The 14,193-nt window shown below is 49.2% G+C and overlaps 1 protein-coding gene across 10 annotated transcripts in view; it reads right to left on the reverse strand.

Annotated features, from left to right (window-relative positions):
• Positions 1-14,193, reverse strand: part of TTLL6 (tubulin tyrosine ligase like 6) — a 54,996-nt gene that overhangs the window by 26,381 nt on the left and 14,422 nt on the right. For 6 of the 10 annotated variants that reach the window (NM_001130918.3, NM_001366314.2, XM_017024493.3 and 3 more), the window contains 7 exons: positions 12,911-13,029; positions 12,641-12,771; positions 10,990-11,146; positions 8,447-8,590; positions 7,447-7,532; positions 2,764-2,989; positions 1,317-1,492 (listed from right to left, as the gene is read on the reverse strand). In NM_001130918.3, coding sequence (NP_001124390.1) covers positions 1,317-1,492; positions 2,764-2,989; positions 7,447-7,532; positions 8,447-8,590; positions 10,990-11,146; positions 12,641-12,771; positions 12,911-13,029 — 1,039 coding nt within the window. Of the gene's footprint in view, positions 1-1,316; positions 1,493-2,763; positions 2,990-5,589; positions 5,721-7,446; positions 7,533-8,446; positions 8,591-10,989; positions 11,147-11,457; positions 11,665-12,640; positions 12,772-12,910; positions 13,030-14,193 lie in introns of those variants that run through there. The other 4 variants (XM_017024491.3, XM_017024495.3, XM_047435805.1 and 1 more) reach the window with 4 other exon arrangements.

Raw genomic sequence — 14,193 nt, forward strand, 5'->3', positions numbered from 1 at the left:
AGATGGCAGGGCATGGTGGAAGGCATCCTGGAATCCCAGGCGGCAGACTCACTGGGCTCTGGGTCCAGAGCTGTCATTTACCAGCAGGGTGACCTTGTAGAAGTCAGTTCCCTTTCTGCAGTCTTGATTTCCTTAGCTTTCAGAACAAGGCCACACAGCACTCCACCCTACCTACCTACCCGCTCCTTACAGGGAAGACAGTGCAAGTGCCTGAGAAACACTGTGCCATCCAAACATAAATGCTATTTATGGCATCAGTTCCAGAAACTCAACCCCAAAGGATTAGACTGGTTCTGCCCATGAGGAGTGCAGGGGGCTGTAGTGGGGTCTGAAAAGCAACAAAGGATCCCCTTGACTAGGCTCAGAGTCTCCAGACACTAGAATCACTCTTCAGAATGGAAATACCAGTTACAAGGCAAGTGCTGCCCAACAGGAAGCAGGAGACGTTAGCTCCTGGCAACAGGGGAACATGGAGAAGGACAGACACATCTTTCTTTATAGTAAAAAAAAAAAAAAGGAATGGTCTTGTTTTTATACTGGTAATTCCTAAAGCTTCACTTAGTATTAATTAATTTCTATCCATTATATATAGCTATATATCTGTAACTTAATCTCCTATTTCTAGGAACAAAGGAATATTCAGAGTAAAACTATTCAAACTGCTACATTCTGCCAATATAAACTCATTTTCCAAATGGGATTATCGTTTGTTAAAATGACCCCCTCCAACTCCAGGCAAGATTGTAATAGCCTTCGATATATATTATAGTGCCAGGCACTATGCTAAGCCTTTTATATGCATTATCTCATTTCATTCGCCCAACAACCTTATGTATCATAGCTCCATTTCATAGAAAGATCACTGAGGCTCAGAGAAGTGACAGAAAGGCCACATAACTAGTAGGCTGTCGAGTCATAATTTGGAGGAAGACAGACCATTCTTTTATTTATTTATTTTGAGACGGAGTCTTGCTCTGTCACCCAGGCTGAAGTGCAATGGTGTGATCTCGGCTCACTGCAACCTCTGTCTCCCAAGTTCAAGCAATTCTCCTGCCTCAGTCTCCTGAGTAGCTGGGATTATAAGCATGCGCCACCATACCCGGCTAATTTTTTTGTATTTTTAGTAGAGACGGGGTTTCACCATGTTGGCCAGCCTGGTCTCGAACTCCTGACCTCAGGTGATCTGCCTGCCTCAGCCTCCCAAAGTGCTGGGATTACAGGTGTGAGCCACTGCACCCGGCCCAGGACAGATCATTCTTATTGGGAGCAGGGGAGTCAGAGAGAGAGCCCCGCAAGGCTGGGGAGTGCGAATGTACCTCATCTCCCGAGAACAACACTGCTGCAGGAACTGCCCCCGTTGTCTCTCCTCCTCCAAGACTTTCTTCTTGTCACAGCTTTCCAGGTTGATCAGGACTAAGGTGTCATACAGCAGACCATCTTTCACCTCTTTATCCAACCGAGAGTCGGTGGAGAAGCTTGGAGAGTGGTTGACCTGTGAGGGCAAGATTGGCAGCTGGTGACAAAGCCGTCCAGAATGAAAGCAGAGAGTGAGGCCGAGGTGCCACCTCCAGGGCACTACCAAAGCCCACCTCAGGGCCCTCACTACCAAGATGAAAGGGAGGGGAGAGAGCATCTGGACTAGAGCCACAGTGAAAAAAGGAGGCAGCAGAACTCCCTCTAGTTAAACCAGCTTTTATCTCAGGCCTTTCTTCTTTGGGAGCATCAGGGTTACCCTCTCTTTGGTGTGTGTGTTCCACTCCATCTGGGGTGCATGTGTTCTCTCATATGCACTGGGCATCCAGAGAGCAGGATGGAAGGGGTACTTCCCAAAGGGACAGGCTTGGACATAGGAGGTAGAGAGGAGTGGCATTCAGGAGCCTGGCCAGGGTGGAGGGGAGACATGTGGGAGGAAGGAGAGGACTCATTCCCGCCCACTGAAAAGTCTGTATTGTTTGGAGGCACCATGTGACATTTGCAGATTTCTAGAAGTTTTTGAAGGGCTTGGTCCTGATGGCTCATTCTGCTCTTTGGGTAAGGGCTGCAAACAGGCACATCCCTCTTCCCACCACACCTACAAGGGCTGGGAATGGAAGAAGGGCAAAGCTGCAGGAATCTGACCTGTAATCTCGGGTTCTCCACCCCAGAGTCTGACCTGTGTCACTGCACCTGGCACTAGCACCCTTTGCTCCCTGAAGGGCCACATGAGAGGGCTCCTGAGGACAATTCTATCAGGAAGAGAGGCAGTCACCAGGAAAGCTTCTCCTCCTCCTCACACTGCCGTATGGGTCTAGGGGAGGCAGGAAACTCACTACATGGCCCCCCATCCATTTCGGTGGCAGCAGGCCCCAGGACGCTCTCTGCTGGTGTGTGTGAACTGAGTAATCCAGGACCCTAAGAGTGGGGCACCGCCGCTCCTGTCTGATACTGAACGTTGCCAACCCAGCTTTGATGAAAAACGCCCCTTTCTGGGAGACAACTCTTACAAAAGATCGAGCTGTCTTTAGAATCACTCTGTGCCTAAGATCAGCACTTCCTTGTCTAAGAGGACCTCAAGAAGGCAAAGGAATTCTCTAATTCCCAGCTGTCTACCCCCCTCTGGTGGCCACTTCTCAGCTAAGAGAGAAGCCCCAGGCAGCAGGCACCATGGGAGGAAGTGGCCTGGGAAGTTGAAACAATTTAGGTGAGCCAGGAGGGCGGAATCCTTGAAGCGGGCTGGCCCCAATAACAGGAGTTCGTTTTCGCCCCTCGCCCAAACTTCCCTACCTCCAGCAGCCAGGGTTTGAGTTTGTGGTCCAACAAAATGTCAAAGCCCAGGATCTCAAAGCAGGCGCTGTTGAGTGTGTGGTTGGGGAAGCAGGTGTGGTAGTTATGCCTGATGATGGGGTGGGCCGAGATGAGGGTCTTGATGATGACGTCCTCAATATCCCTCCATATCTGCTCCACGTTGTAGCTGTGGTCCTCCAAGTATGCACTGAAGGTGGAGAGCTTCCTGGAAGGGAACCACAGGCCAGGAGGCAGTGTAGCTGGCTTCTGGTCACCCGAGGCCATGGCATGCTGGAAACCAGAAACTCCTGGCGGAGACAAGGCTCCAGAGCCAGCGAGGATGAACGCCCAGGAACCAGGGTGACACCTGGGCTGTGTCGGTGCCAGATGAGGTCCCAGGAATCCCAGGACCACACCCTCCAAGTCTCCAGAGCCCCAGGGTGGGTGCAGATGCAGTCACATAGGACATGGTCAGGACACTTTCACTTTCACTGTGACCCAGAAAACATCTATCAGCAGGGGAAGGGATGAGTCAAGAAAACCCCCTGACACCATGGTTTTACTTTGGCAGCAATGATTCCTCAGCCTTTGGTGTTCATTAGAAGCATGTGGGCAGCCTTTTAAGAACACTGATGCCTGGGTCCCACCTCAGCCATCTGAGGGGATTCTAGGGACACTAATGACACAGAAAACTTGTTTTAGGGCTGCCCACAAGGAAAAGGCACCCAAGGGCATGTCCACAGATAAGGTTACCAACTGTGCCAGGCAAACTGGACTGTCCCAGTTTTAGAATTGCAAGTCCTGAATTCCAGGAAACCCCTCAGTCGTGGGCAAACGGAGACAGCTGGTCACCTGATCACAGATGAACTCAGAGATGTTTACCTCATGTGGAATAGTTCATGAGGAAATACCTGAGTGGGTACTCAGCCAGCTCTGAGCTGGGCATTACAGAGAGAGGATGGATGTCACAAATCCAAGAGGCAGTGGTGGGGACAGACATTTGCCACCTCACATGCACACAAATGTGCACAGACAGCCAAAGTGGAAGTGGCAGTGTGGAAGGAGGAGGTGCAGGGGAGTGAACAGCAGAAAGAATGAAAAAGACAAGAGACACGGCTCATCCAGGCAGTTTCAAAAGCTCACTAGATCCCAGCCCAAGGGGTCAAGAAGGAGGAAGCAGGGTCAGCCAGACAATGAGCATTTGATAAGGGCCTTTGGTGCATGCAAAGCCTCATGCAAGGAGGGGACACTAGAAACTGTCACCTCTGTCATGGGAAGCCTCAGGACCATTCAGGGAGTCAACACACATGTGAAACAACCAAGGATGCATTTATATAAAGACAGATAAGCAAAGGATACTCAATATAGAGGCCACCTCCTCCACCTGCCATTGTCAGAAAACAGTGTTGCACATAAATGGATTTTCCAGATCGCTTTAAGCCAATTTTTTTCAAGTGGAGAAAATGTATTTAATTTGCCTAATTGGGAAATAAATTTTCCTGAAATAGATTATACACCTCCCTGGCAACATATAACATAACCTTTTCTTGATGACTCAGGCTCATCACAATGAATATACTTCATTGTGTAATTTCATAATGCCCAGTGGTAAGTCAATTCAATTTAATACCAGCCATGTGCTGAGCACACTGAAAGATGAAGATGGCTTGGTGTCTGCCCCAGAATCCTGCCAGGTTTTCAGGTTTCCTGTCTTCTCCTTCACTGTGACCGCAGCACTACTCCTGAGTTTGTGCGCCAGTGGGGTATTGACAGGGAGGGCAGTTGACCTCAAACGCCAACTTTGGGACAGATGAGACAGTCAGTATGAGAAGAAGATTGTCTCAAAAGATGGAGAGGAGGAAGAGGAAAGGAGAAACAAGATGGGAGGGAGAGGAGGAAAGATGAACTCTGCCCAGCACTATGGGAAGAACCCCAAAGGCCAGGGCACCATTGTAACCCTCAAGGAGCAAAGTACAACTAGGGACAAAAGACAAATGTGCACTGGGCAAAGAATAGTTATGGGCGATGGCTGATGTTGACCATGAGGGTTGTAAAAATACAAAAAATTGGCCAAGCATGGTGGTGGGCGCCTGTAATCCCAGCTACTTGAGAGGCTGAGGCAAGAGAATCGCTTGAATCCGGGAGTCGAAACTTTTGCAGTGAGCCGGGATCGCGCCATTGCACTCCAGTCTGGGGTGACAAGAGCAAGATTCCGTCTCAAGAAAAAAAAAAAAAAAGACAGTGCCCTGTCCATGAAGTGGATGGCACGGGCAGCATGGCTTAGTGGGTAAGGGCACCAACTCGGGGGTCAGGCAGCCCTGGTTTCAATCCCAGCTTCCTAGCTGTGCGACCCAGGTAAGTTACTTAACTTTTTCACACCTCAGTTTCCTAATATGCAGAATAGGGATGATGATAATGCTGACTTCATAGTGTTGTTGTGAGGAGGATTAAGTGGGTTCAAGTATGTAAATTATCACTAGGAAAAGAAATGTCCAAGCTCTCCACCCCTGGAGATGAGAAGGTAGAGATGGGGAAGTTGGGCAGGGAGACCAATTTGGAGTGCTGCGGTGGAGGCAAGGAGAGAGAATACACCCATTCTGGGAAATGCTGAGTTGAAGACGTCCAGGTGGAACTGAGGAGAGATGGACCTGGAGCCCAAGGGAGACAGGCTGAGCCCAGCAAGGGCAGGCGGAGGCCACGGGGGCACACGGCTGCTCCAGGAGAGAGTGGATGGAGAAGTACAGTGGGGTGAGAGGGAGATGAACAGAGGAAGAGGACAGGGGAAATGGAAGAGGCAGAACAACACTTGAAGCCTTGCAACCTCACCTTAGTTCTGCTACCCCGAGACACCCCTCCATCACAGCCGAGGGCCCAGGGCCTGCTGTTGGGGTGCCAATTCTCATTGGAGGAGGAAAATGAGAACCTTTCCATTCTGTGCCCTTAGACTAAGGAAAAATGACAGTAACCACGCACACTGTCTGTGTTGCCATCACAAGTCATTTGAACCTCACAGAGACCCTGTGAGGTGGCAGGGCAGGGCAGGGAGTCTCATCACGTTCATCCTCCAGACCAAGAAGTGCAGGCTCAGAGAGATGAAGTAACTTGTCCAAGCCTAGTTGGCAAGTGTCGGAGCCGGGACTACAAACTAGACCTCCCAGAGTGCCACGCTCAGAACGCAGCAATGCAAGAGGCCCAGCTGATGCCCACAGCCCAGGTGGGGAGGAGAGGAGGAAGTCGCAGAGCTTCAGGCAGCACAGGTGGCTGACATCTTCTGGAAAAGGGGGAGACTGCCTCCCACCAGCCTTCCACATCCCCTTTAAGCAGCCTTAACTTAGCGATTTTCTGTGTGCTTTTTGGAATGCTGCCACTGAGGGGGTCATGAACTGTCACATGCCTCTCTGATGGTCTGAAGCCAAACTAATTGCCTGTTCAGAGGTCCTTTGAAGCCTGGTGCAGCGGAAAGAGAATGAGCTCTGGGGTCTAACAGACCTCGCTTCTCCACCCAGTCTAGCAGTCACAGCTGCGGGACCTGGGGCAACTCACGCAACCTCTGAGACTCAGTTTCCTCATCTGTAAGATGGAGATGGCACCTAACTCACAGTTCTCCACCTACAGAGGGCAGATAGTAATGCCTTTGCCATAGTGTTGCTGTGAAAAATTCAAGAATAGGCCGGGCGCGGTGGCTCACGCCTGTAATCCCAGCACTTTGGGAGGCTGAGGTGGGAAGATCACGAGGTGAAGAGATCATGACCATCCTGGCCAATATGCTGAAACCCTGTCTCTACTAAAAATACAAAACTTAGCGGAGTGTGGTGGCACATGCCTATAGTCTCAGCTACTTGGGAGGCTGAGGCAGGAGAATTGCTTTAACCCGGGAGGCAGAGGTTGCAGTGAGCCAAGATCGCACCACTGCACTCCAGCCTGGCGACAGAGCAAGACTCAGTCTCAAAAGAAAAAAAAAAAAAAGAAAAGAAAAGAAAAATTCAGCAATAAAAAATGCACAGAAAGCACCAAGCACAGACCCCAACACACATGAAGCCTCAGAAATACTTGCTCCTTTTCCCTTTCCTCCTTCACCTGGTCAAGTTCACATTCTTCAGTCCCCCGTTTTCTTAAAACTCAAATGAGACCCGATTAGACAATAACAGGAATGGAAAAGCCTCTCGTGAAGATACTCTCATGAACTGCTCTCAATTTCCCCCCTTCTGAGGAATCTTCAAGCCGGCTAGCCACATGTCAGGGCACTGTGACACATCATTTGAGAATCTCTAATGGAGCAACGTCCAGGGGAACATGGGCCAAGCAATGACTGCCTGGCAAGTCCTTCTCACGTGGCAGACTAGCGATCAATAAATATCTGTTGATTTGGAAATATCAGAAGGGCCAACTGTAATAAGGGTATGTTTTGGTGTGTGTATATATTCTGCTGGGGAAACAGCTCATGTTTATCTCTCCTCCTCCCAGCCTCCCAGGGTTTACGATGGGGCCTTCTTTTAATGATTAACAGCCAAGAGGGCAGAGATGAAGGAATTTGTTCTGGGTTGCGAGGCAAAGGAGTATATTCTCAGACCATGTGACCCAAGATGGAAACACTGATGGGGACTAACAGGGTTTGGGTAGAATCCCAGAAAGCAGTTCTGAGGTTGGTAGGGAAAGGAAAGAAAAATGAAGCCTCTTCCTTACCTCTTACTGCCAGAGTGTGCATCTCGACTGAAATTTGAACTGTGCTTATTAATGGAATAATTAGTCAGGTGCATGCAGATATCATCCTGGGGAAAAAGACACACATCTGTCGGGTCAGCTCGGAAGGGCAGGCCCCCTGCTTCCTCTCTGTGCCCTCCCATGGCCCCTGGGGCTTGAAGGGATGGAAAGAAAGGGAAGTTTTAGGGCTTATTTAGTGTGGCAAAATACAGGAAGTAAGAAGGGGTGTCCTGCAGCCTCGAGCCTAAGAAACTCCAATTCTGCTGGGCGTGGTGGCTCATGCCTGTAATCCCAGCACTCTGGGAGGCTGAGGCAGGCAGATCACGAGGTCAGGAGTTCAAGACCAGCCTGACCAACATGGTGAAATCCCATCTCTACTGAAAATACAAAAATTAGCCGGGGATGTGGTGCACACCTGTAATCCCAGCTACTTAGGAGGCTAAGGTAAGAGACTCGCTTGAACCCAGGAGGCAGAGGTTGCAATGAGCCGAGATCATGCCACTGCACTCCAGCCTAGGCGACAAAGCGAGACTCCATCTCAAAAAAAAAAAAAAGAAACTCCAGTTCTTTCTGAGATTGGGTGGTGCCCAGCCTGAGAAAAACTTCAGGAGTCCTGGGGGTCCAGGAAAGGTGGGGATGGCAGGGTTGCTCATCCACGGCCTTTTCTCCTTGATTACCCCTGAACTGTGGTTCTGGCTTTGGAGTCAGGCAGACCTGGCCACAAGCCCCAGACTCACCTCTTCCTAGCTGTGTGACCTTGGACAAGTCCCTTATGCTCTGGGTTTTAATCTCGTCATCTGTAAAATGGGGATAATAATCCCTCTCTCTGAGGGATCCTGGCAGCGCTAAATGAAACCCGGCACATAGCAAGTGCTCAACAAATGACACTCACAATGTCTTGAGGATGTGGATTTAACTAGAATTTTTTTTTTTTTAATCACGCTATGGGGGTAGGGTGAGGTAGTGTGTCTCCTTAGCTCACCAGGTTGTCTGTGCAAGGGCGGGAGTAAGAGGTCGTCGCAAAGCGGGCCAGTCCTTCATTGTACACAAAAATCCTGAGAGGGTCACAGGATGTCACCAGTACATAAATCCGTAGGTCAAACTTAAACCCATCAATGATAAAGGGCTGGAAGGAGAGAACAGAAGTCAGACATGCATTAGAGGAGAAATTTACACTTGAAAATCACTAGCTCCCGCCTTGTTTCCATGGAGTTGGCTCCAACATTGCCTAGTGTTGTGGAGGGCAGGCTTGTCCAGGGTCAGAGAGAGGAACAAGGAGACTTGGGCTCTGTGTCCCAACATGTGACCCTGTGGAGGTCACTAAACCACACTGTGCCTTGGTTTCCTGATCTGTCAAGTGACACAAGTAACCACCTCTAAGAGGCACCTTGGCAACTAAACAAAGTAACATTAAAAAGTCCTCTGAAGCCAGGCGTGGTGGCTCATGCCTGTAACTCTAGCACTTTGGGAGTCTGAGGCGGATGGATGATCTGAGGTCAGGAGTTCGAGACCAGCCTGGCCAACATGGCAAAACCCCGTCTGTACTAAAAATACAAAAATTTGCCAGGCGCGGTGGTGGGCCCCTGTAATCCCAGCTACTCAGGAGGCTGAGGCAGGAGAATCACTTGAGCCCCGGGGGGCAGAAATTGCAGCAAGCCAAGTTCACGCCACTTCACTCCAGCCTGGGCGAAAGAGCAAAACTCCATCTCAAAAAAAAAAAAAAAAAAAAAAAGTCCTCTGATGGGCCAGGTGCAGTGGTTTATGTCTATAATCCCAATACTTTGGGAGGCCGAAGAGGGAGGATTGCTTGACCTCAGGAGTTCAAGACCAGCCTGGGCAACAAAGTGAGACCTTTTCTCTACTAAAATTCAAAAAAAGAATTAGCCAAGTGTGGTGGTGTATGCCTGAAGTCTTAGCTACTCAGGAGGCTGAGGTGGAAGGATTGCTCAAGCCTAGGAGGTCGAGGCTGCAGTGAACCCTGATCACACCGCTGCACTCCAGCCTGGGTGACAGAGTGAGACCCTGTCTCAAAAAAAATAAATAGATAAAAATTCTTTGATAGGCCAGGTGCAGTGGCTCACACTGGGAATCCCAGCACATTGTGAGGCCGAGGCAGGAGGATCTGTTGAGGCTAGGGGTTTAAGACCAGCCTCAGCAACATAGAGACTCTACCTCTACAAAGAAATTTTTTTTTAATAAAAAATTAGTCTGGGCACAAGGGTTCACACCTGTAATCCCAGCACTTTTGGAGGCCAAGTCAGGCAGATCACTTGAGGTCAGGAGTTTGAGGCCAGCTTGGTTAACATAGTGAAACCCCGTCTCTACTAAAAATACAAAAATTAGCCGGGTGTGCTGGTGGGTGCCTGTAATCCCAGCTACTTGGGAGGCTAAGGCAGGAGAATCACTTGAACCTGAGAGGCAGAGATTGCAGTGAGCCGAGATTGCACCACTGCACTCCAGCCTGAGCAACAGAGTGAGGCTCTGTCTCAAAAAAAATAACAATTACAAATTAGCCAGATGTGGTGGCATGTGCCTGTAATCCTAGCTCTACTGGGGAGGCTGAGGTGGGAGGATTGCATGAACTCACGAGTTTGAGGTTGCAATGAGCTATGATTGTGCCACTGCGCTCCAGCCAGAGTGACAGAGCAAGACCCTATCTCTAAAGAAATAAAAATAAAATAAAGTATTTTGATGAATGGACATATTGTCACCATTCGGGACTACATATTGTTGCAGTTCTTTTTTTTTTTTTTTTTTTTTGAGACAGGGTCTCCAGGGTCTCACCCTGTTGCCCAGGCTGGAATGCAGTGGCACAATCTTGGCTCATTGCAACCTCCACTTCCCGGGCTCAAGCAATTCTCCAGCCTCAGCCTCTAGAGTAGCTGGGACTACAGGCATGTGCCACCACGCCTGGCTAATTTTTGTAGAGAAAGGGTTTCGTCATGTTTCCCAGGCTGGTCTGAAACTCCTGAGCTCAAAGCAATCCACCCACCTCGGCCTCCCAAAATGCTGGGATTATAGGCGTGAGCCACTTTGCCCAGCCAATGCATAGTTGCAGTTCTACAAGAGTTCTCCCTGCAATGTTGTCCCCTGGCCATTTCTTCCCAGAGAGATCAGTGTGTCCCCCTCTGTCCACACTCCTAGAGGGCTCCCTCCCCACAGTGGGCTGTGACCTATGACCTCAAGTCAAAGAGAAAAGCTGATTGCTCTCCAGCATCATGCCCCTTTCCCACATGAGGGCTTCCCCAAACCAAAGGTGCTCTCCTAGCCCTAATGTGTTACAGGAAAAGGGCCAGCCTGGCAGGGCCAGACCAATTGACAAGGGTAAAAGGATAACAGACACTCTGGCCCGGGCACGTGTCAGCACCCCGGTCAGAACGTTTGGTCTGACAAAGTGCAAGGCAGAAGCCAGGTCAGCTCCACCTCCACCTTCACCCTCCATCCCCTCATTTCACATTCTGTCCAGTGGAGCTAAAGTCCGCGGTTGCTGTGGGTGATAAATAAATAATCACAATGAGGAAGTACCTTTGAAATATACAGCTGACAGATCATATCCTCCCCTGGTTTGATTTCTTTCACTGTCCGGGTGATGAATATACCTTTCCCTTGGCAGCCCGAATCCGGCTTACAAATGTATGTCTTATTTTTTCTTGACCTGCTGTAGGTCTGCAAATCTCCCCAGCTACCAGAGCAGGGAGGGAACAAGATACATCTTTAGCTGGGGAGCAATGAAAAGGAAGGCTAGCCCTTTATGAAGAAAAGAAAGAAAAGCTGTCTAATGTGACAAATCCCTGGCACTGACAGATGCCCAGAGGTCCAGCAATGGGAGAGAGTAGAGCACACGCAGTGGGGAGTGTGGGCTTCAGAGGGAATTCAGGCCTGGGTTGAAGCCCAAGCAACACCACTTACCAGTGGTGCAACCCTTTGCAAGGACTTGACCTCTCTAAACCTCAACTTCATCATCTATACAGTGAGGATAATAACGACACCCACCTCCTGTGGTGCCTAGTTGCATGACATAATGCAGGCACAGTGCTGCATGTCCCATCAAGGTGACCATGGCACAGGTAGTTTTGTTTTCTGGGTTTGCAGGTAGGAGCTTTGGAGTTCTGGACCTGGCTCAAGCCCTGACAAGTGATGTGATTTTGGATCCGTCAGTCTCTCACCCCATGCTGGGCTTCAGTGTTTCGTCTGTGACACCTCCATTTCAGCCAGAGTATGGGAGAGCAAATCATATATTTGAACATATTTTGAGGAAAGTATATTCAGAAGAAAGAAAGAAACTAAATTAATGGATTCGGTCTATCAGTCTCGCTATACTTCTGTGTTTTAACTCAAAGGAAACTTGTAACCAGGAAGTCACTTAACTGCAATGTTCCTCAGTAACCATGAAATCTGGAGCTCCTGTTGACCTGATGGCAAATACATTTCCTTCTAATTTGCTGCTAAGCCCTGAAACTTGTTCCAGACAAGCCAAGGAAAGTCTGAGAACCCTGGTGCTCTTGGTTTTGGAAAGCACTGGGTGGAGAGGGGAGGGTAGAATTCCTCTGATACCCTTGCCATGTGAGTATAATCTGATGGTGACAGTGTTCTACCCCTCTGCCCTGTCTCAGCCACCAGATTGCACCCTAGGTCATGGATGTCATCTCACATTTCTCCTGTTCCTCGGTGGTGTGGTCCAGAGTACTTTACACACCAGGAACTGATGTTGTTTTGAAATGGATATAAAGAGAGCAGAGAAGGGGAAGTGCTGACTGCTATCCATAGCATTGCATGGGACAGAGGTCAGGCATCCCTCCCTGCTCCTAACCGGGGTGCTAACCACTAGCACACTCTCTCCAGAGGTGCTCATGGTCCTTAAAGATTCAGAAACTGCACAGTTACGTGGTTGGAATTAGTTCAAAACCAACAGCTTTCAGGGTCAGAACAAACTCTCACCCCAACTGCACGTACAGGCTCCAGGGCACCCAGCCCCTAAATGTCATCTAATTTTACAGGCAGAGCCTTGTGTTTTCTCAACCTTGGACACACCCTTTATCCCTTCTCTTCCTGAAAAGTAGCCAGAGAGATGGGAGTTCATATGGGCAGGGAAAGTGGCAACCAGGGAATCGGGGGCAAGAGGAAATGTAAATGGGGAGGGGAGTGGAGAAGGAAGTACAGGGCGGGGGGCACTCACTCAGCAGGAAGACACCAGGTCCTAGGGAAAAAGCGGAAATCTTTAGGGAACATCTTTAACATGCGGCTCATGTTCCTGGCCAGCAAGTCCTTCCGGCAGATTTCACTCATCCCGGGGAAGTGATTGATCTTCTGGAAGGGAAGCCGGAATTCATGAGCAATCGAGGGACATGGGAGTACTACAAGATCTCCTCGGGAGACAGGTGTAAAAATGGGGCCCCGCCGGGTAAGATGGCACACTTAAACCAAGGACCATCACTAGCCCAAATACCTGGTAACTTTTCATTTCCATCACCCGCTCCAGTGACACTGAGTAATCTGTCCAATAGAGAGTCCAGTCATCGTCTTCCCCTCCCTCTCTAAAGCCGTACTGTTGGGCAGCCCTGCGCACTATTGAAGAAAGAAAGGCCTATTAGCCCAGGAAGTGGGGGAGGAGTATGGGGTGGGGAGATTCCATTACTAGGTGCTCCCAGACCAAGTACTGAAGCAAAAAATCTCGGCTCCTCGAGACTGGAAGCCATCTTGCCCTCTCTGGATGCAAGAATGGAGAGTCAAACACTGTCACTGCATCACTTGAGTCCAGGAGTTCAAGACCAGCCTGGCCAACATGGCAAAACCCCACCTCTACTAAAAATACAAAAAATTATCTGGGTGTGGTGGGGTGCGCCTGTAATCCCAGCTACTCAAGAGGCTGAGGGGGAGAATAACCTGAGCCCTGGAAGTCGAGGCTGCAGTGAGCCGTGATCATGCCACTGCACTTGAGCCTGGGCAACAGGAGACCCTGTCAAAAAAAAAAGAAAGAAAGAAAAGAAAAGAAAGAAAGAAAAAGAAAGAAAGAAAGAAAGAAAGAAAGAAAGAAAGAAAGAAAGAAAGAAAGAAAGAAAGAAAGAAAGAAAGAAAATAAAGGAACATGGAGAGTTGAAAACTACTGAAGAATCCAGCCTGTGCTCAATGATCCCCGTAGAAGGTTATCTGAGGTGAATGATTTCCCTGTTCTGGCTTCCCTTTGCCAGAAAGCAAGCTTCTGGCTTTCCTCCAAACACCAAGCTCTGAATGTTCAGGGAATATAAACTAATCCTTAACATTAGCCAGAGCCAAGCTTAATTAGTATATGGTATATTAAGCATGCATTTTTTTAAGTACACACTGGATTTCAAAACCACATTTGTGATGTCATATCCTTCTTTCTGTTCCTGTCAGGATTAATAAGTAGGAGCTGACTCCAACACAAACTCAAATGCCTTCAAGGGCCTAGAATGGGAGAAGTGCCTGCAGTAACCGGGACAGGACAAGACTACCCTAAAGCATTCAATTCTAATTTAAAATACAGCAACAGGCTGGGCACAGCGGCTCACGCCTGTAATCCCAGCACTTTGGGATGCCAAGGTGGGCGGATCACCTGAGGTCAGGAGTTCGAGACCAGCCTGGCCAACATGGCAAAACTTTGTCTCTAATAAAAATACAAAAATTATCTGGGCATGGTGGTGTGCACCTGTACTCCCAGCTACTCAGGAGGCTGAGGCAGGAGAATCACTTGAACCCGGGAGGCGAAGG

The sequence above is a fragment of the Homo sapiens genome, chromosome 17 (genome assembly GCF_000001405.40).
Source record: "Homo sapiens chromosome 17, GRCh38.p14 Primary Assembly".
NCBI lineage: Eukaryota > Metazoa > Chordata > Mammalia > Primates > Hominidae > Homo > Homo sapiens.